The sequence below is a fragment of the Homo sapiens genome, chromosome 22, assembly GCF_000001405.40.
Source record: "Homo sapiens chromosome 22, GRCh38.p14 Primary Assembly".
In the NCBI taxonomy this organism is placed as follows: Eukaryota; Metazoa; Chordata; class Mammalia; order Primates; family Hominidae; genus Homo; species Homo sapiens.
The window spans coordinates 31,831,742-31,853,482 of NC_000022.11; the positions used below are offsets into that span (position 1 = coordinate 31,831,742).

At 44.6% G+C, this 21,741-nt stretch overlaps 1 protein-coding gene and 1 pseudogene across 39 annotated transcripts in view; both read left to right on the forward strand.

Annotated features, from left to right (window-relative positions):
• DEPDC5 (DEP domain containing 5, GATOR1 subcomplex subunit) overlaps positions 1–21,741 on the forward strand; it is a 154,066-nt gene that overhangs the window by 77,774 nt on the left and 54,551 nt on the right. For 24 of the 39 annotated variants that reach the window (NR_157126.2, NR_146296.2, NR_157128.1 and 21 more), the window contains 7 exons: positions 2,174–2,239; positions 5,231–5,414; positions 6,944–7,104; positions 11,354–11,471; positions 11,904–12,071; positions 13,277–13,496; positions 15,093–15,226. Coding sequence is in view for 33 of the 39 variants with exons in the window: in NM_001364318.2 (NP_001351247.1) it covers positions 2,174–2,239; positions 5,231–5,414; positions 6,944–7,104; positions 11,354–11,471; positions 11,904–12,071; positions 13,277–13,496; positions 15,093–15,226 (1,051 nt within the window). In the remaining 6 variants the exon portion in view is untranslated. Of the gene's footprint in view, positions 1–2,173; positions 2,240–5,230; positions 5,415–6,943; positions 7,105–11,353; positions 11,472–11,903; positions 12,072–13,276; positions 13,497–15,092; positions 15,227–21,741 lie in introns of those variants that run through there. The other 15 variants (NM_001136029.4, NM_014662.6, XM_047441625.1 and 12 more) reach the window with 3 other exon arrangements.
• RNU6-201P (RNA, U6 small nuclear 201, pseudogene) lies at positions 5,497–5,557 on the forward strand (annotated as a pseudogene).

Below are 21,741 nucleotides of genomic sequence, written 5' to 3' on the forward strand. Positions count from 1 at the left end.
TGAGCCCATCTTTTTAAATAAAAAAATTAGTTATTTAAAAATTTATGTCCAGTAAAATGTGCTATATTTAGTGTACAGTTCTGTGAGTTTTGACAAATGCATAGAGTTGTATACCCACAAACAAACACATCAAGATAAGAAAATTTCCATCACCACCCAAAATTCCCTTGTGCTGTTGCTTTGTCCTCAGTCCGTCCATGTGTTCTCTGGCAACCACTCATCTGTTCTCTGTCCCTCTGGTTTTACCTTTCCCAGCATGTAACATACATGGAATCATACAGTATGTAATTTTTTGAGTCTGGCTTATTTCACTCACCATATTGCATTTGAGAGATTCATCCACGTTGCCACGTGTCAATAGTTGCCTCCTTTTTATTGCTGAGTAGTATTCCATTGTATGGATGAACTACAATTTGTTTATCCTTCCCCCAGTTGAAAGATAATTGGGCTGTTTCCAGGTTTTGGCAACTATGAATAAGACTTCTATAAATGTTTACATGATTTTATATGAACAAAGTTTTCGTACGAACTTAAGTTTTCATTTTTCTTGTATAAATTTCTATGAGTAGATTGCTGGGTCAAATGGTAAATCTGTTTTCCAAAGTGGTGTGCCATTTTGCATTGTTATCAACAATGTGTAAGGCTTCCTGTTGTTCCATATCCTTGTCAACACTTGGTATATCCAGTCATTTTCATTATTTCATCATTCAAATCAAATAAGCATGTAGTGGTATCTTACTGCACTTTTTTTTTTTTTTCTTTTGAGACGGGGTCTTGCTCTTTCAGAAACCCAGGCAGGAGTGCAGTGGCACAGTCATAGCTCACTGCAACCTTGGACTTCTGGGCACAAGCAGTCCTCCTGCCTTAGCCTCCTGAGTGGCTGTGAACACAGGTGCATGCCACCATGCCTGGCAAATCACTGTGCTTTTAATTTGCTATTTCCTTAATGACTACTGATGTTAAGCATCTTTTAATATACTTATGTTCCTTTTGCATATGTTGTTTGTCCTTTTCTCATTGGGTTGTTCGTTTTCTTGCTTTTGAATTTGAGAGTTCCCTATATCTTCTGGATGCAAGTCCTTTGCCAGGTGCATGATTTGCAAGTGCTTTCTGTCATGTTGTAGATTGTTTTTTCAAAGCTTTCACAAGAAATTTATAAATACTTGTTCTTGTTATAAAATATTCAAATGACCCAGAAGTATTTAGAGTAAAAAGTACAAATTCTCTTTTACCTCCTATCCCTTCCTCCAGCTTTCTTCTCAGAGTTAGCCACCGTTGAATGTTTAGTGAGCATCTTTCCAGTCCTTTTTAAAAAAATATTTTTATGTGTATTTACATAGAGATGGTGTCTCACTCTATCACCCAGGCTGGGGAGCAGTGGAGTGATTATAGCTTGCCACAGCCTTGAACTCCTGGCCTTGTGAGCTACCATGCTCAACCTCAATTCTTTTTATGGCATCAGAATTTTCTGATAAATATATGTTTTGAAAGGGACATTTAAGTACTGATAGGTGTGCTTTAAAATTAATTGTATTACTCGACAGTCAATAAATTGCATTTCAAAGAATCTTCCGGTTTTTCCTTTCAGCCCAGTTATAGGTAAAATCATTGTTTTTATGTTAAAGTAGTGAGTTTTGATGTCCTGTGTCATATTGTAGAAAGCCATGATTTGGGGAAGAAAATTCCAGAAGATAAGGATGGCTGATGAGTGGATTAAATTTAAATAGGTCATTTTGTTTTATTTTATATATTTTTTAGAGATAAGGTCTCTCTCACTCTGTCGTCGCCCAGGTTGGAGTGCAGTGGCACGATCAAAGCTCACTGTCAAAAATAGGCCATTTATATTCACTAAAGATTGCTCTAATTAGTTGAAATGACTTTGAAATGTGTCCGTTTTCTTAAAATAAGTGGCAGGTTGCTCGTGTTTGTGTGATCTCTTTTAGCAAAGAATGATACCAGTAACCTCAGAGTAAAGTTCTGGCTCATTCCCAATTTTAGATTGATCATTTTTCTTTGATCGATTCTTTTGTACTGTTTGAAATACTCAGCACAGAATTTGCACTTGGTTTACATTTTTATTTTTAGCTCCAGTTTGCCTTTTTCAACCATAACTGGTCAGAACTCTTTTGCAGAGTGAGCCTTCTTAAGACAAGCTGTTTTTATCTTTCCATAGGTATGAATCCTAGGACCCAGAATAAGGATTCTCTAGAGGACAGTGTTTCTACCTCTCCAGACCCAAGTAAGAGGGGGCAGCTGACTGGGGAAAGGGGTAGACAGGGAGTGTGGGGTGGTCAGAGCATGAGGAAACAAGAGGAAGCCCTGTGGGAAGTGAGTGGTCCTGAGGTACACATACCTCTGGGGTATGGGAAGGCGATGTGGTGAGGGAGGACTCTCTGGACTCTGTGATGGAAAGTGAGGGGGTGTGTGACTGAATGACCTGTTTTGGAAGGTGATTCAGGGGCACCTGGGAAAGGTAGCAGATTCCCTATAAGGCCCCCATGCTGGTCCAGAGCTGGCCTTCACCCTTAACTGCCTAATGATATCTCCATGAAAAAGTTGGAAAGACATAATAGGCTGTTAACTGGAATCATTTACCTGCCTGTAGTTGAAATATTTGGCTGAATTGCATTCCTTTTGATTGTCTTTTTGAATAGCTATGCAGTAAGAGAATGTCTAAATATCTGTAATAATAAAATAGCAGAGAAAATCCTACCATTTGATAAACTTTACTTAGCTGTGACCAATGGATGTATATCACTGAGTCTTTTTGTCCCCACTTTTTTTTTTTTTTTTGAGACAGTGTCTTGCTCTGTCACCCAGGCTGGAGTGCAGTGACGTGATCTCGGCTCACTGCCACCTCTGCCTCCCAGGTTCAAGTGATTCTTCTGCCTCAGCCTCTTGAGTAGCTGGGATTATAGGCGCGCGCCACCACGCCTGGCTAATTTTTGTATTTTTAGTAGAGACGGGGTTTCACCATGTTGGTTAGGCTGGTCTCAAACTCCTAACCTCGTGATCCTGACCTCGTGATCCGCCCGCCTTGGCCTCCCAAAGTGCTGTGATTACAGCCGTGAGCCACCTCGCCCAGCCTTTGTCCCCACTTAATAATCCTTTTACTATTTGTTCAGGTCCCTCCTAGCAGTCATTTGTAATGGCAACATTAAGCATATTACTGTATCTTGGTTTGAGTAGTCATTTCTTATTCATGACCATTTGGATGGCTTTCTGCTTTTTAGCCATAGCATATAATGCAGCTATGATAATACCTGGTGGGCTGAGCATGGTGGCTCATGCCAGTAATCACAGAACTTTGGGAGGCTGAGGTGGGTGCTTCACTTGAGCCCAGGAGTTTGAGACCAGCCCGGGCAATATAGTGAGACCCTGTCTCTATTAAATTAGAAGTTAATAATAATACATAATACATGGTGCAGCAGGTGTATTTTTTCTTTTGGTTAATGTCTTTGGATTACACTCCCCAAAGTATGGTTGGCAGATTGACTATTTTCCAGAAAGCTACCAGCAGTGAATAGATGATTCTATTTCTCTACAACCCTGTCACCGGAGTTTGTTACCTTTGCTCATCATTGTTATTTTAGTGGTTCTGAGGTGTAGAACTTCCTCAGAGTCCCTCTTTTCAGAACCAGAAGATACTGGGGTTAGAAAAGAGGCTGCACTCTTTTCCTAGAGACAGAACACCCTTAAACTTACAATCAGGATCCTTTCTCATCATGAGATCTCGAACTAAGCATTTGAACAGTCTGTGTCTTGTTGTGTGCCCAGCAGAAAGCATTTCTACAAGATTTTTGTAATCCTGAGGGTCAGAAGGCTGATGATGGCCAGGATGATCTAAGAGGACATAAAGATAGATTTGTCTTCTGTTTCTGGCTTCCCCACTGGGGCTTTGATCAGGTCCTCATCTTCTGTTTTAGCCAGGAAGTAAAAACAAGCTCACCTTCTCGGCTGCCATATAGAAAAATGGAGATGATTAATTAGGCTATTCGGGCCTATGTTTTGGATTCCTGAATTATTAATGAGTTTATAAGGCCTGTGTAGAGCATGAATTAGATCTGTTGCAGGCTAAATCATCTTCCCCAAGTCAGTGGTGCCACGTGGGGCATCTTTCTGCTGTGACTTAGCACACAAATTTTGTTCTTCATTGACGGGAGGGCTGATGAGGCAGCAGGGGCTACAACACATTATAAGCTGTTAGCATGGTACAAAAATAAAGTGAGTATCCCATTCAGAACTTAGAGACAAACGCTCAGAGTTTTTCGGCTTCGTATTGCTCCCTTCTTTGGAAAGTTAAAAGATAGTCTTCACTTAAATTACTTAAAGAGGTAACTGCCCTATTATTTTAACTCAGTGAAGCTCAACCAGGGAGGATTTTCCTAACCAGGGAGGATTTCCCTCCCCCAGGGGAACATGTCAATGCCTGCAGACATTTCTGGTTTTCACAGCTAGGGGATGCCACTGGCATCTAGTGAGTAGAGTCCAAGGATGCTGCTGCGGTACCCAGGACAGCCCCCACAACAAAGAATTATCTGGTTCAAAGTCTCTGTTGTTGCCGAGGCTGAGAAACTCTGCTTTAACTGAGGAGCAGGCAATTCGGGACAGACCCATGTGGTCAGGACTGCTCTGCTAACTGCAGCCTTCATTTTTGGATTGTTAAAACTCTGTCTCTTAAAGTTCCAGCCTCCTAACTTTCCCAGATATCCTTACTTGATTTTTCCTCCCACCCTTTTGAATCTGTTACTTATTTTTGCAGTGCTAGAAGTATTCCTTATTTCTGCTACTGTATGCTGTTTGCTCCCAAACGAGGCTGAGCTCCCCTCCTTTCCCCACCTAGCCACTCTGCAGTCCTTGGGAGAGGCTCGTGCTTGGGCCTCCCTGCTCTTGGAACGTTGATGTGCTTCGACATGTAATTCTGCCTGCCCTGCCGTAATCTCACCTGCATTGCGGCTGCAGCTCACAGTCAGCAGAAAATGAAAAATATCAGCTGTGAATCCCATTTGCATGATGGGATTGGATAAGCATGTGCACTGCATTGTCTAACAAACTCTGTTTCTCTCTCTTTCTCCCTCCCCTACCCTGTTTCTTCCCAATCCTGGCAATTTTACCATCTTTCACCCTGAACTTTTTTCCCCACTCTTCCCTCCCCTTCCCTCCCCTGGCCCCCCATCCCACACTTGCCATGGTGACCACATGTACCTTTTCCCCCTGTTACGTGAGGCAGTTCTGACACTGTCTGCTCCCCCTGTAGTGCCAGGCTTCTGTTGCACAGTTGGAGTGGACTGGAAGTCTCTCACTACTCCGGCGTGCCTCCCCCTTACCACCGACTACTTCCCTGACCGCCAGGGCCTGCAGAATGACTACACAGAGGGCTGTTATGATCTCCTTCCAGAAGCAGACATCGACAGGTCAGTGTCAGAGAAAAAGGCACTTGGCTTGGTTGGTGAGGGTTTCGGATATATCCCACACATGCATCAGAACACTGGATTTGTGCTGGCTTCAGCAACACATATATTAAAATTGGAACGATATAGAGGAGATTAGCATGGCCGTTAAATAAAAAATTTTAAAAAAACATTGAATTGTATTTTATCTTTTTTTTTCCTTTTTTTTTTTTAACTGAGAGAGGGTCTCACTCTGTCGCTCGGGTTGGAGTACAGTGGTATGATCACAACTCACTGCAGCCTCTACCTCCTGAGTACAAACAGTCTTTCCACCTCAGCCTCCTAAGTAGCTAGGAGTAGCTGGGAGTGGCAGCACCACATCTAGCTAATTTTTGTGTATTTTATAAAGACGCTATTTTGCCATATTGCCCAGGTTGGTCTCAAACTCCTGGGCTCAAGTCATCTGCCCATCTGTTGCGTCCCAAAGTGCTGGGATTACTACCTTGAGCCACTGTGTCTGGCTGAACACTGAATTTTCAAGCCTGTGTCCTCTTTTTATATTTGGGTAACTTTTTTTTTTATTTTTTTGAGACAGAGTCTCACTCTGTCCCCCAGGCTGGAGTGCAGTGGTGCAGTCTCATCTCACTGCAACCTCTACCTCCCAGGTTCAAGCGATTCTCACGTCTCAGCCTCCTGAGTAGCTGGGACTACAGGCGTGTGCCACCACACATGGCTAATTTTTTGTATTTTTAGTAGAGATAGGGTTTCACCATGTTGGCCAGGCTGGTCTCGAACTCATGACCTCAGGTGATCCACCCACCTCGGCCTCCCAAAGTGCTGGGATTATAGGTGTGAGCTGCTGCACTGGCTGTGGGTAATTTTATGATGTAAGAACTGTTCGTTTCTCCAGAGTTCTATTGACATCAACTATTTCTCCTCGTTGATTGATTTATTTTTAACTCCAGTTGGTTCTGGCTTTGATGTTTATTCTCATATTTTCTAATGCAATTATTTTGGGCACACTAAATCTGATCTTCTTTTCTAAAATTACTCATTTGGGCATTGAGTTACCTGCCTCTTTTCACCTCTTTGAACTGTTAATTTTCCCCAAAACACTGATTTACAAATTGTTAGTAGTTTTTTTTCATATTTTCTATTATATTTTCTTTTCTCTATCTCTTTTATATACTGTCATCCAGGCTGAAGTGCAGTGATGCAATCTTGGCTCACTGCAACCTCTGCTGGGACTACAAGCGCGTGCCACCATACTTGGTTAATTTTTGTATATTTTTTGGTAGAGACAGGGTTTTGCCATGTTGCCCAGGCTGGTCTTGAATTCCTGGGCTTATGCATATGCAATCTGCCCATCTCAGCCTTCCAGAGTGCTAGGATTACAGACATGAGCCACCATGCCCAGCTCAAACTGTTAGTTTTATGAACCACCATAGAATGGTTATAAGGGGATGAAGCAAAGGAGATGATGAGACTGTGCACTCTTAAGTGTCACTGTCTCGGGCCAAGCATCTGTATGAGCAATCATCTGTTGTTTTCAGGAGGGACGAAGATGGTGTGCAGATGACAGCCCAGCAGGTATTTGAAGAGTTTATTTGCCAACGTCTCATGCAGGGCTACCAAATCATAGTGCAGCCCAAGACACAGAAACCCAATCCTGCTGTCCCGCCCCCGCTGAGCAGTAGCCCACTCTATAGCCGAGGTGAGTTTTTCTCCTTGGATTTCTATTTTTTTCTCTTCTACTGTGTATGTGGAAGTGGGTTTTCAAGATGGTAGGTAGTAGATAAATTTAGTAGTAATCGTTTTCGACATAGAAGTTTTCTTTATAAATTCTACTTAAGTGAGGAATAAAGTCTCCTTTAGGTATGGATTTATTTTAAATGCTCTCTTTAATTTACAACTCTCCCTTTAAGGCAGTGGATGTGGCCAAGTTCAGGAATGGGACAGCCTGGCTTGGACAGACACCTGGGAATAGTAGGCAGCTGAGTCACTACTGAGCTGTCAACGTTTCTAAACCTATATTTAATTGTTTCTAGTACAGTACCTGGCACACAGCAGATTGTCAGATGTTACCTAAACCTGAAGTTTACATTTGTTCTTATTTTCTTATTCTGGATTCATCTGTCTCTTCTTTATCACTGAAGCTTGGTGGCTTGAAGCAAGAATGGGTCATCTATGAGTGGCAGATTAGGCTAGTAAGTAACAGAGAATCGGTGTTGCTAATTGAATCAGAGCCAGGCAATGGAGAGCTCCTCTAAAATAAGTCTAACAGAGGGAATTAAGTGCAGGTGCCTGGAATCAGAAAGCAGTAATCACTTCCTGGAACAATCAATGAGCTGTCTTAGTCTCCTGTCTCTTCATTATTGCTAACAAGACCCCCCCTCCCCTGATCACCTAGTGATAACCTTGGATCATCTTTGTCCCCATGAAAGCTTCTTGGGCCAGAGGATCAGAGAACTGTGGCCCTGTTGGAGCATGCGGTCATCCAGTCCAGGCCCTGTTGTTTATGTGTGAAGCTTTGGACTCCCCCTGGATTTTCTTTGAAAGCCCCTTGTGACATTTATCACATGTTGCCTTGTATTCATCTTCCAGACCCTACTGAATGTTAACCTTTTTGAGTGCCAAGACTATTTCTGTTCATCTTTTTGTCCTCCACAATGGAAACTACATGCCTGGCATACAGTAATATGCAACAGTATGGGTTAATAAGTATATGAATTTGGCTGGGCGTAATCCTAGCACGTTGGGAGGCTGAGGCAGGAGGATCCCTTGAGCCCAGGAGTTCAAGACTGGCCTAGGCAATGTAGGGAGACCCTGTCTCTAAAAAGAAAAGAAAAGAAAAATAAATATATGAATCCATTTATTCACACATTGATTCTACAGTATCTTTGAAGCACTTACTCTGCCTGGCTGGGGAGAGGATTTATAGCCCAGTCAGGGAAAATAACATTAGTCAAACTATGAAATATAATTATATGTTGTGATAAAGGCTGAGGGAGAAGTCATGGGGCTGTCAGAACATTTAATATGGGGCCCTATCTAATCTGGTGGGTCATGGACAGCTTCCCTGAGGAGATGAGGTTTGAGATTAGACCCAAAGTACATGTAGGAGTTACCAGGAGCGGCAGGTTGGAAATGGAGGGCAGGAGTAGAAGGGAAGGGCATAACAGGCAGAGGCCAGTTTGTGCAAAGGCTCTGTGGCAGAAAGCATTGAGATACTTTCTGGACACCAAAAAGAAGGCTGATATGATGGAGCACAAGGAATAAGCCGGAGGTGCAGCCAGAGATGTCAGGAGACCCAAGCCTGTCTGAAGGATTTTGTCCTTTATCCCAAGAGTAATAAGATGAATTCACCTTTCATGTCACTGGCACCTTCCAGGCTGCCCACCTGTTGTTCTCTGGAATAGCTGGTGGATGTCCCTCAGTGGTCTGAGTTCCTCTGTGTCCAGTTCTGTTCCTGGCTGATCCATGAGCCTCATGTGATGGTTAGTTGGCCAGAGGCTGCTTGCCTGACTGTATCCTTTCTGGTTATTTTTTTGCTGTGATAAATTTAATCTCTCTAATTTCTATAGTAACAGAAAGGGTACCATTGTTATCCTAATTACTGGAAAAGTTGCCATCACAACCAGGCCTGTGCTGCTTATTCATCAGAGATTTATTGAATACTAAGTGTGAGCCAGGCCCTATTCCAGCAGGGAACAGAACAGCATCAGCCCTCCCCTCAGAGTCTACAGTCTATGGCAGAGTCAGATGTTAAACTAATAAACCACAAGTATATATTTGATCACAGATTGTGAAGAATAAATACCATGCAGGATAAACACAGAAATAACTGGGGTGCACCTAATTTAGAATGGGGGTGTCAGGTACGATGTCAGATGCTCATGAACCTTGTCCCATGGCATTGTCTTCCCAACAGCCAGCAGAGTGTTTGTTGCATGAATGAAGAAGGAATGCTTGGATGAGGGCTTGCCCTCTTTCTTGCTGTAGAAAGTGAGATTTGGTGCCCAAGATCACACAAGCTGGCAAGTGAAAGTGCTGGGGTTGGACCTGGGGTCCCCTGAGTAGCTTCTGTTTTGTATGCAGCTGGCCTGCTACTCCCTTGGCACCATCGGGGAAATTTCCACATTCACAGTGAATATTATTTCAGCCTCTGCTGTCCTCCTCTCTCCTCTTGACCGCTCACATGCTGCCTGTCACTGTGTGACTGTCTCAGAGCTGAATGAGTGTTACCAGTGGAAGGTGTCCAGGTTCTTGGCACCTCAAAGAGTTGGACAAAATGCACAAACAAAGCAAGGAAAGAATGAAGCAGCAAAAGGAGAGATTTATTGAAAATGAAAGTACACTCCACAGTGTGGGAGTGAGCTGGAGCATAGGGGCTCAAGGGCTCCTTTACAGAATTTTTTAGGGTTTAAATACCTTCTAGAAGTGTCCCGTTGGTTACTTGGTGTACACGCTATGTAAATGAAGTGGTGGCTCGCAATCAGTCTGATTGGTTGCTGAAGTGAAGTTACAAAGTTACACTTCTATGCAAACGTCTGTTTGGTTGTAAAAATCAAACCAATCAGAGACACTTTCAGTTTTCCATCTGCCTCACAGAAAAAGCGGAGAGTGGTTTGTGAAGGGAGTAACCTCCGGTCCTTTTGTTACTTAGGTGTGGAAAGTTGGGGTTTTCCTTTTGATTTAGTTCTAGGAAGTCAGCCTGAATTAGTCTTAGGTTCCCTGCCTCCAGACCCTGTTCTCCTGCCTCAAGAGGACTGCCTTTCATTTCTAGATCAAAGGAATCTTGGCTTGGCTTGGTTGTTCTTTGAGGCATGATTTTTACTCTCTTGAACACTTGTCATTTTCTTGATTCCTGATTATTTTCCTCTTTCCTGCGTTCAGTTCAGTTCAGCTAATACTGGACATGGCACTTTATCAGGTGCTTCTAAAAATGTAAGGAGGAACAACGTTTGAGCCCTGGCCTCCTGGAAGTTTTAATTTGTAAGGGGTGACAGATATACGCACAAGGAACTATATACAAGGTAGGATTCAGACTGCTGATGGGGCCTGATGGCTTTCTGGAAGAAGTAGCATTTGATGGTGACTTCAGATGATCTGGGATTTCAGTGGTGGCCCAGGAAGAGAATGCAAAAGAAACAACATGAGCAGGCTGAGCACGGTGGCTCACGCCTGTAATCCCAGCACTTCGGGAGGCCGAGGCGAGTGGATCATCTGAGGTTGGGAGTTCAAGACCAGCCTGACCAACATGGAGAAACCCCGTCTCCACTAAAAATACGAAATTAGCCTGGGGTGGTGGAGCGTGCCTGTAATCCCAGCTACTCGGGAGGCTGAGACAGGAGAATTGCTTGAACCCAGGAGGTGGAGGTTGCAGTGAGCCGAGATCGGGCCATTGCACTCCAGCTTGGGCAACAAGAGCGAAACTCCATCTCAAAAAAAAAAAAAAAAAAAGAAACAACATGAGCAAATATTTGCAGCAAATCAATAAATGGTCCTTTTAGACTGAAACTTGGTATAGCAGTTTAGGATTAGTGAGAGCTAGGACCAGAAAGCTAGGTTGGCTGCCACCTTGGAGTGAGAACCTCGAATGCCAAGGTGGGCAGCTTATGCTGGTGTAGTAGAGTTCCATTTTAGTAACACAGTCATCTCTTACAGAACTTTCCTCTCCAGAGGATGAGGTATCAGGTTGTTCAGCTTTGAGTGTGCCATCTAGGTGCTATCAGCTAGCACCTTCAGGCTCTAATCTGCTCCTGGTTGGTTTAATAACAGAAAAATCTGCCAACCTCAGGAGTTTTTTGTTTGTTTTTTTTAACCAAGAATAACTTTCTTCCATGAAACTGCCCCTAAGAGAAAGTGTTACATTGTTTTCTGAATCTATATGGATGAGAAACAATTGTCTGTTATAGGAATGAGCTTCAAACAGATGGAGGAAATTATTATTTTTCTGTTAGGCCTTGTGTCCCGAAACCGCCCTGAGGAGGAGGACCAGTATTGGCTGAGTATGGGCAGAACGTTCCACAAAGTGACGCTGAAGGATAAGATGATCACAGTGACGCGATACCTTCCCAAGTGAGTATTTGGATATTTAAAGTCTTCAGTTATTGTCCTGAATTATGGCCACATACTAAATTGTGTGTATAGTACATCATTCAAACTGAGGAAGTTCAGTGGTTGGTTTTTCTTTTGGAGTTTTGTTTGTTTGTTTCTAGGGTTATTTTAGGGTTATAGCTTACCTACTTCCAAAAGGGATTTGATTCATCTTATAATGTTTAGCATGATTCATGACAAGCCTATTTCAAATAAAGATTGTGAGGAGAGAAGAAGGAAAGAGTTTAAGAAGATCTGAGAAATTTCTAGTACCGTTCCCTGGGATAAGTTGGTTACTACAGTTGAGGGGTAAATGTCAAGGATGGTTCTAAGTGTATAGAGATAGAAAATAAGAATTGGCAGGAATTTGTCTCTAACTCTTTTGAATTTGGGGACCTGCCCTTTATTTTGCAGGTATCCTTATGAATCTGCCCAGATCCACTACACCTACAGCCTCTGTCCTTCCCACTCAGACTCAGAGTTCGTCTCCTGCTGGGTGGAATTCTCCCACGAACGGCTGGAGGAGTACAAGTGGAATTACTTAGATCAGTATATCTGTTCTGCCGGCTCTGAAGACTTCAGGTCAGAGAGTGGGCTTTGGATTTCCATCTTTGCATCCTTGGGCAAGGATGTGTATGTGTATTTTAACACTTTCTGCCCTTTCTCTCTCTCTCCCTTTTTCTTTTTTTTTTTCTTTGTAAAGAGACAGGGTTGACTGGGCGCGGTGGCTCATGCCTGTAATCCCAGCAATTTGGGAGGCCGAGGTTGGCAGATCACCTGAGGTCAGGAGTTCGAGACCAGCCTGGCCAGCATGGCAAAATCCTGTCTCTACTAAAAATACAAAAATTAGCTGGGTGTGGTGGTGCGTGCCTGTAATCCCAACTACTTGGGAGACTGAGGCTGGAGAATCGCTTGAACCCAGGAGGTGGAGGTTGCAGTGAGCCAAGATCAAGCCATTGCACTCCAGCCTGGGCAACAAGAGTGAAACTGTCTCAAAAAATAAATAAATAAAAAAAAATAAAATTAACTGGGCATGGTGACATACCCCTATAGTCCTAGCTACTCAGGAGGCCGAAGTGCTTGAGCCCAGGAGGTCGTGGCTACAGTGAGCCTTGATAGTGCCACTGCACCCTAGCCTGGGCAACACAGCAAGACCTTGTCTCAAAAAAATAAAATAGGTTAATGTGATAAATTTTTTGTTATGTGTATTTTGCCACAGTTGAAAAAACAAACCCCATGAAGCTCAGGGATGACGTGCCCTTGATGCAAGTGGCAGTGCAGATTGCCTTCTTAACGTTCTCTCCACTAGTTGGCTGGTAGCTTTGTGACGCCTGATTTTTAATTTTTGATTTCTATGCATGATTTGTGATTGTGATGATAGCCACAAATTCACTGGGCCTGGGTGTGCAGAAGCATTCTGATATCTCTGGAATCAAAGCAAAAACTGCCTTTGTGGTCTTCCTTCAGAGCTCTTTTTTTTTTTTTTTTTTTTTTTTTTGAGACAAGGTGGAGATGGGGTCTCGCCATGTTCCCCAAGCTGGTCTCAACTCCTGAGTTCAAGCAATCCTCCTGCCTCGGCCTCCCAAAGTGCTGGGATTATAGGTGTGAGCCACCATGCCCATTCTCAGAACTTGTATTTTCAACAAAGCCATGAGCTGTAGCATCAAATGAGCACATACTCATGGGGAGATGGACCTTCACACACCAACTCCACAGAGAGTTTACTGAGAGTGCTTTCATTATCTCCTTTCTCTCACCACCACCCTGTGTTTTCCTTGCCCCCTTAGCTTAATTGAGTCCCTGAAGTTCTGGAGGACCCGCTTCCTGCTGCTGCCAGCCTGTGTCACCGCCACCAAGCGCATCACGGAGGGGGAGGCCCACTGCGACATCTATGGGGACAGGCCCCGTGCAGACGAGGACGAGTGGCAACTCCTGGATGGTTTTGTCCGCTTTGTGGAGGGCTTGAATCGCATTCGCAGGCGGCATCGCTCGGATCGCATGATGCGGGTAAGGGCTCCTTAGACTCAGGGAGTGCGCCTGGTGTGAGATGCAGGGCCTGCCACCTCCTCTATTAGGGGCCTCTCATCATCAGCCTACTTATTTACTCCTCAGCTGCCCAGTGTTTACCTTAAATCCAAAACAGTGTTTTCTCCTCCACCGCGGGGTAAAGGAGGAAGGGATAGAGTGCAGGCAGTGACTGGGTGGTGTTCTGTGGCATAGAGCCATTCCCTTCCACCTGAGGACATGGTGCCTTGAGGTGCTCCCCAAGTGGGACCCTATGTTGAGCACAGCTGCTTGTGTGACTGGGTGCTGAACCTCTGAGTAGAAACTCTCAGGAGGTGAACAGCAGCAGTCCTTCCTCACTCTTCTTGCTCCAGAGTTCCCAGCACCCTGTGCCTTATTTCAGTCACACACCACCCAGTGCGGAGACTCAGGCTTCTGGGGGTTATGGAATATGCCAGCTATAAGGGGCAGAACTGGGATTCAGCATTTTTTTTAAACATATAGTATAATTGACGTGTGTGTGTGTGTGTGTATGTGTGTGTGTGTGTACACAGGTCTGTGAATTTTAACAAATATATAGATTCATGCAACCATCACCATCACTTCAAAAAAATTCTCTCATGCTAGTCTTTTTTTTTTTTTTCGAGACAAGGTCTCACTTTGTTGCCCAAGCAGGAGTGTGGTGGCATGATCATGGCTCACTGCAGCCTTGACCTCCCACCTTAGGCTTCCAAGTAGCTGGGACTAAAGGTGTGCATCATGTCCAGCTAATTTTTTGTATTTTTTGTAGAGATGGAGTTTCCCCATTTTGCCCAGGTTGTTTTCAAATTCCTGGACTAAAGTGCTGGGATTACAGGCATGAGCCACCATGCCTGGACTTATGCTAGTCTTGATAGTCATGTTCTCCCCCATCTCTAATCCCTGGCAACCACTGGTGTGTTCCTTATCACTGTACTTTTGTCTTTTCCAAACATCACAGAAAAGAGAATCACATAATATGTGACCTTTTGAGGCTGCCTTCTTTCACTTAGCATAATGCCTTCTGATTCATCCAAGTTGTGTGTGTAAGTAGTTCACTCTTTTTAATCACCAGGGAATGTTCCATCATCAGCCATGTTTTTTTTGTTTTTAACCTCAAGTTCAGTATTCTTCCTCTCACACCAGCTGCCTTATGTACACAACATCACTTACGATTAGAAACGTGTCTGGGAGAGCTTGGATAGTGGGAAGAACTTTGGTTTTGAAGTGAGGTCACTGGAGTTTGGATTCCAGCTCCAGTAGGATGTGGGATAAGTTCCTTAACCTCTCTGAGCTTCAGTTTCTTCTTCTGTAAAATAGGGCTAACATTATTTACATCATAGATCTGTGGTGAGGGTGAAATGAGGATGTGCAAATAAAGGGGCAGTTTATTTTTAGCTGACCAGGCATTTGAATGAAAGGCGGTTTTCTGTCACTTACTGAACACTGAGAACCTGTGTTCCTTGACCCTGTCCATGGGATTCCCGGGGCCTGGGAATGCTGCAGCATGCCCTGGGGCATGAGTGGCTTCCACTGAGAGCCCACTTGGCTGATGGCCTTGTCTCCTCTTCTCTGCTTTAGAAAGGGACCGCCATGAAAGGCTTGCAGATGACTGGGCCCATTTCCACGCATTCTCTGGAGTCAACTGCACCCCCAGTGGGGAAGAAGGGAACCTCAGCTCTCTCTGCCCTGTTGGAGATGGAGGCCAGTCAGAAGTAAGTGCTTGGTGGAAGACTGACTTGTCCCCACCTTGACAGCCCTGAGGGTTTTCAGTGCCCTGTTCCCTTGAGGGGGTGAAATATTTCCTTTACAAGGAGCTTGTAATTAGGGAGAAGGCATTTATGTGAAAAGGAAGGCTAATACCTGGTAGGTGTTGGATAACATGAAATAGGCCAGAAGTTATAAACTTTTAGATTGGGACTTAATTTTAATTACAGACTCATTTAATTTAGCCCACAAAGTATTTCAACATATTTGAGCCGGGGCCAGGTGTGGTGGCTCAGGCCTATAATCCCACCACTTTGGAAGGCCAAGGTGGGCAGATCACTTGAGGCCAGGAGTTTGAGACCAGCCTGGCCAACATGGCAAAACCCCATCTTTACTGGGGAAAAAAAAAAAAAAGCCAGGTATATTAGTCCATTCTCACACTGCTAATAAAGACATACCTGGGACTGAGTAATTTATGAAGGAAAGAAGTTTAATCAACTCACAGTTCTGCAGGGCTGGGGAGGCCTCAGGAAACTTACAATCATGGCAGAAAGGGAAGCAAACACATCCTTCTTCACATGGCAGCAGCAAAAAGTGCAGAGTGAAGGTAGGGGAAAAGCCCCTTATAAAACCATCACATCTCGTGAGAACTCACTATCATGAGAACAGCCTGGAGGTAACTGCCCCCATGATTAATTTACCTCCCACCTGGACCATCCCATGACACGTGGGGATTATGGGAACCATAACTCAAGATAAGATTTGGGTGGGGACACAGCCAAACCATATCATTTCACCCCTGGCCCCTCCCAGTTCTCATGTCCTTGCATTTCAAAACACAGTCATGCCTTCTCAACAGTCCCCCAAAGTCTTAATTCATTCCAGCATTAACTCAAGTCCAATGTCTCATCTGAGACAAGGCAAATCCCTTTTGCCTATGAGCTTGTAAAGTCAAAAGCAAGTTAGTTACTTCCTTGATACAATGGGGTATGGGCATTGAGTAAATACACCCATTCCAAATGGGAGAAATTGGCCAAAACAAAGGGGCTACAGGCCCCATGCAAGTCTGAAATCCAATAGGGCAACCATTAAACTTTAAAGTTCCAAAATGATCTCCTTTGATTCCAAGTCTCACATTCAGGGCATGCTGATACAAGAGGTAGGCTCCCAGGCCCTTGGGTAGCTCCAGCCCTGTGGCTCTGCAGGGTACCACCCCACTTCGGGCTGCTTTTACGGCCTGGTGTTGAGTGTCTGCCACTTTTCCAGATGCATGATGCAAGCCGTCGGTGGATCTGCCATTCTGGGGTCTGGTGGATGGTGGCCCTCTTCTCACAGCTCCACTAGGCAGTGCCCCAGTGGAGACTTTTTCCTTCCGCACTGCCCTAGCAGAGGTTCTCCATGAGGGCCCTGCCCCTGAAGCAAACTTCTGCCTCCCCTGAAATCTAGGCAGAGATTCCCAAACCTCAGTTCTTGACTTCTGTGTACCTGCAGGCTCAACACCACATAGAAGTTGCCAAGGCTTGGGGCTTACACCTTCTGAAGCCATGCCTGAGCTGTACATTGGCCCCTTTTAGCCATGGCTGGAGTGGTTGGGATGCAGTGCACGGAGTCCCTAGGCAGCACACAGCAGGAGGCCAGGCCCAGGAAACCAATTTTTCCTTCTAGGCCTCCAGCCCTGTAGTGGGAGGGGCTGCATGAAGGTCTCTGACATGCCCTGGAGACATTTTCCCCATTGTCTTGGTGATTAACATTAAGCTCCTCCTTACTTATGCAAATTTCTGCAGTAGGCTTGAATTTCCTCCCAGAAAATGGGTTTTTCTTTTCTGTCACATCATCAGGCTGCCAAGTTTCCAAACTTTTATGCTCTGCTTCCTCTTGAACACTTTGCCACTTAGAAATTTCTTCCGCCAGATACCCTAAATCATCTTCTCAAGTTCAGAGCTTCATAGATCTCTAGGGCAGGGGCAAAATGCCACCAGTCTCTTTGCATAGCAAGAGAGACCTTTACTCCAGTTCCCAACAAGTTGCCCATCTCCATCTGAGACCACTTCAGCCTAGACTTCATTGTTCATATCACTATCAGCATTTTGGTCAAAGCCATTCAACAAGTCTCTAGGAAGTGCCAAACTTTCCCACATCTTCCTGTCTTTTGAGCCCTCCAAGTCACTGGGAAGTTCCAAACTTTCCCACATTTTCCTGTCTTCTTCTGAGCACCCCCAGACTGTTCCAACCTTTGCCTGTTACCCAATTCCAAAGTCGCTTCCACATTTTCGGGTATCTTTACAGCAGTGCCTCACTCCCCAGTACAAATTTACTGTATTAGTCCATTCTTATGCTACTAATAAAGACATACCAGAGACTGGGTAATTTATAAAGGAAAGAGGTTTAATTGACTCACAGTTCAGCATGGCTGGGGAGGCCTCAGGAAACTTAAAATCATGGTGGAAGGGGAAGCAAACACGTGCTTCTTCACGTGGCAGCAGCAAGGAGAAGTGCAGAGTGGAGGGGAAGGGAAGCCCCTTGTAAAATCATCAGATCTTGGTGGGCATAGTGGCTCACACCTGTAATCCCAGCACTTTGGGAGGCCTAGGTGGGTGAATCACCTGAGACCAGGAGTTCAAGACCAGCCTAGCCAACATGGTGAAATCCCGTCTCTACTAATAATACAAAAATTAGCCGGGCATGGTGGCACACACCTGTAATCCCAGTGACTCAAGAGGCTGAGGCAGGAGTATTGCTGGAACCTGGGAGGCGGAGGTTGCAATGAGCTAAAATTGCACCACTGCACTCCAGCCTGGGTGACAGAGCAAGACTCCGTCTAAAAAAAAAAAATAAGTAAATAAAATAAAACCATCAGATCTCATGAGAACTCACTCACTATCACAAGAATAGCTTGGAGGAGACTGCCCCCATTATTCAGTTACCTCCCACTGGGTCCCTCCCAAGACACATGGGGATTACAGGAACTACAATTTGAGATGAGATTTGGGTAGGGACACAGCCAAACCGTATCACTGGGCATGGTGGCGCATGCCTGTAATCAAAGCTGCTTTGGAGGCTGAGGCACGAGAATAGCTTGAACTCAGGAGGCGGAGGTTGCAGTGAGCCGAGATTGTGCCACTAAACTCCAGCCTGGGTGATAGAGTGAGACTCTGTCTCAACAACAACAACAACAAAATTTGAGCCGGGTTTTAAATTTGAAGATTCCATATAAAAATCTGGATTGTATAGATTGTATATGAATTTTTATATTAAAAATATAATATACATTATATATATGACATGATACATGATGTTATATAATATGTAAAACAATATATTGTGGATAATATACTGTAGTACTCTCAATGCTCAATTTCAGTTACCCAAGGTCAACTGTGGTCCAAAAATAGACGAGTACAGTGCAATAAGATATTTTGAGAAAGAAAAAGAGTCCACATTCACGTAACTTTTCTTACAGTATATGGTATAATTGTTCATTTATTATTAGTTATTGTTGATAATCTATTACTGTGCCTAATTTATAAATGAAACTTTAGCATAAGTATGTATTTATAGGAAAAAAACATAGTACATACAGGGCTTGGTACTATCCTAGGTTTCAGACATCCACTGGGGATCTTGGAACATATACCCCTCAGATAAGTTAGGACTATTGTAATGCAAAGTTGGCCAGGTGCAGTGGCCCATGCCTATAATCCTAGCACTTTGAGAGGCCAAGTTGGGCAGATGGCTTGAGCTCAGGAGTTCGAGACCAGCCTGGGCAACATAGTGAGACCCTATCTCAAAAAAAAATTATAGTTAATATATAAAACCCAGTTTTGCTTGAGGCCGGGCGCAGTGGCTCATGCCTGTAATCCCAGCACTTTGGGAGGCTGAGGCGGGTGGAACACAAGGTCAAGAGATTGAGACCATCCTGGCCAACATGGCAAAACCTCATTTCTACTAAAAATACAAAAATTAGCTGGCATGGTGGCACGTACCTGTAGTCCCAGCTACGCGGGAGGCTGAGGCAGGAGAATTGCTTGAACCTGGGAGGCGGAGGTTGCAGTGAGCCGAGATTGCGCCACTGCACTCCAGCTTGGTTACAGAGCGAGACTCCGTCTCAAAAAAAAAAAAAAAAAAATCCAGTTTTACTGGATTTACACAGGGTCCACATCTGCACCCAGCCACAGTGAGCTGGCACTTCAGAAGGGGCATATGCCTTGGTTTCACACTCTGGTCTTAAACTTGTCTCACACACTCAGTCATGCTAGCTGGCTGGCTTTTCTAGGCCTTTGGGTATGTGGCCTCTTTATAAACAGTAAGTGTTAACAGTTGATAAGACACTGTTGGGACCACACTTGGTTGGGAAGGCAGGAAGAGTGTGGTGTCATGGGAGGTGGGATTCAAACTGGCATTGTAGGAAGCAAAGCGTTTACATGGGGGTGGGTGAGACTTGAGGAAGAGAAAACATTGCCTTGGGCTGCCTTCCCTGCCCCTCTCCACCTCACAGCTAGATCAGGTTCCTCCCTGTGCTTGCCAGCATCCTGGGCCTACGTCCATCAGAGCACTTACCAGTATTCTGCTGGGAGCCAGTTGTCAGTTGACTTCTCCCTGACTTGACTGTGTGCTCTGAGGCCAGAGGCTGTGTGCCATGCCTGGCACATAGTAGGTGTGTAATGGATATTTATTGAATGATGGGTTGGGGGATGCTGAGGGTCTCCCTGTAGAGATGTGAGGTGAGCATGTTAGGGGAGGCTAGACCTTGACTGTATGGTATGAGGGTCTGTCATGCCCGCAGGAACCTGCACACATTAGGCTTTCCAGAAGTAACATTGAACAAGCAAACGTGAGGTATGGTGGGGACATGGAATTGGAAAGACAGTGTGGGAATTTGGATGCTAGGCTGTCCTTACACATTCTCATGGCAAGAGGAATCCTTTGAAAGTTTTAAAAATTCTATTACAGGCCAGGCGTGGTGGCTCACGCCTGTAATCCCAGCACGTTGGGAGACTGAGAGGTCAGGGTTACTTGAGCCCAGGAGTTCAAGATCAGGGTAGGTAACATAGTGAGACCCCATCTCTACAAAAAATTAGCCTAGAGTGGTGGTGAATGCTGAGGTGGGAGGATTGCTTGAGCCTGGGAGGTTGAGGCTAGGCTGTAATTAGCCTCAGTTGCGCCACTGCATTCCAGTCTGGGCGACAGCAAGACCCTGTCTCAATAAAAAATGAAAATAAAAATTTTATTAGAAAATTTCAAAGGGATACGAATAATAGACTGGTATAATAAATTCCTGCTTACCCATCATCACGCGGCTTCAGTGAGAATCATCTCATGGCTGACCTTATTTCATTTCTATCCAACTTATGTTTTCCTTTTATTTATTTATTTATTACTATTTTTTTTTTTTTTTTTTGAGATGGAGTTTCGCTCTTGTTGCCTAGGCTGGAGTGCAATGGCACGATCTTGGCTCACCGCAGCCTCCATCTTCTGGGTTCAAGTGATTCTCCTGCCTCAGCCTCCCGAGAAGCTGGGATTACAGGCATGCGCCACCACCCCAGCTAATTTTGTATCTTTAGTAGAGATGGGTTTTCTCCGTGGTGGTCAGGCTGATCTTGAACTCCCGACCTCAGGTGTTCCACCTGCCTTGGCCTCCCAAAGTATTGGGATTATAGGCGTGAGCCACCGAGCCTGGCTTCTTTTATTTTTTTAAATCAAATTCCTGATGTCATTTCCCTTCATCTGTAATATTTCAGAATGTACCTCGGAAAGACAAGTACTCTTTTTTAAAAAAACAAAACCATGGTATTATAATTTACCTTTAAAATTACAACAATTCCTTAATATCATGAAATAGCCAGTTGGTGTCTTTGGCAGAAGTGGTTTTTTCGGAGATGAGCTCCCTGTGTGGGAAGGCTTGGTGGGCGGGGGCCAGGAGGCAGAGTCCTATCAGGAGGCTCCCGCTAGTCCAGGCAAGAGGCAGCTGAAGCTGGATGGAGGGTGATGATGAGATGAAAAGGAAGGGATGAAGAACACGGCAGGGTGCCTACGGTGAGGGGACAGATGAGAGAAAGATAACTGGGATAGGTTGGGTTTGTTACTGAGGGCACTGGGTCTTCTTTTGAACATATCTTTATCAGACCAAAGGAAGATGCCAGGACTCTGTGTGGCAATTTCTCCCTGCAACTAATCACAGACTTTTCCCACTGGAAAAGAGAACAAGGAACATATGTTGCTGGGAGGGGTGTCAAGCTGGGGGTGAGGTGAAGGGATCTTATTTTGTCAGTGAGTCATTGTTTAGTATGCACCAAGGAGCCTGTTTCTGCTCACACTGAAGAAGCATATCTTGGGGGTAGTGGTACCCCCAGTGTGAAGGGTGAGATTCTCAGCCAACCCCAAGGCAGGAGGCAGGACAAAGAGACCCAAGACTTCCTCCTTGCCACGGATGACTGCTCCCGGGAGACGTGCTACATTTTCTGAATAGAGGTAGAGTAGAGGGAACCAGACATTTATATAACATTTGTATAACATTTGCTTGCAC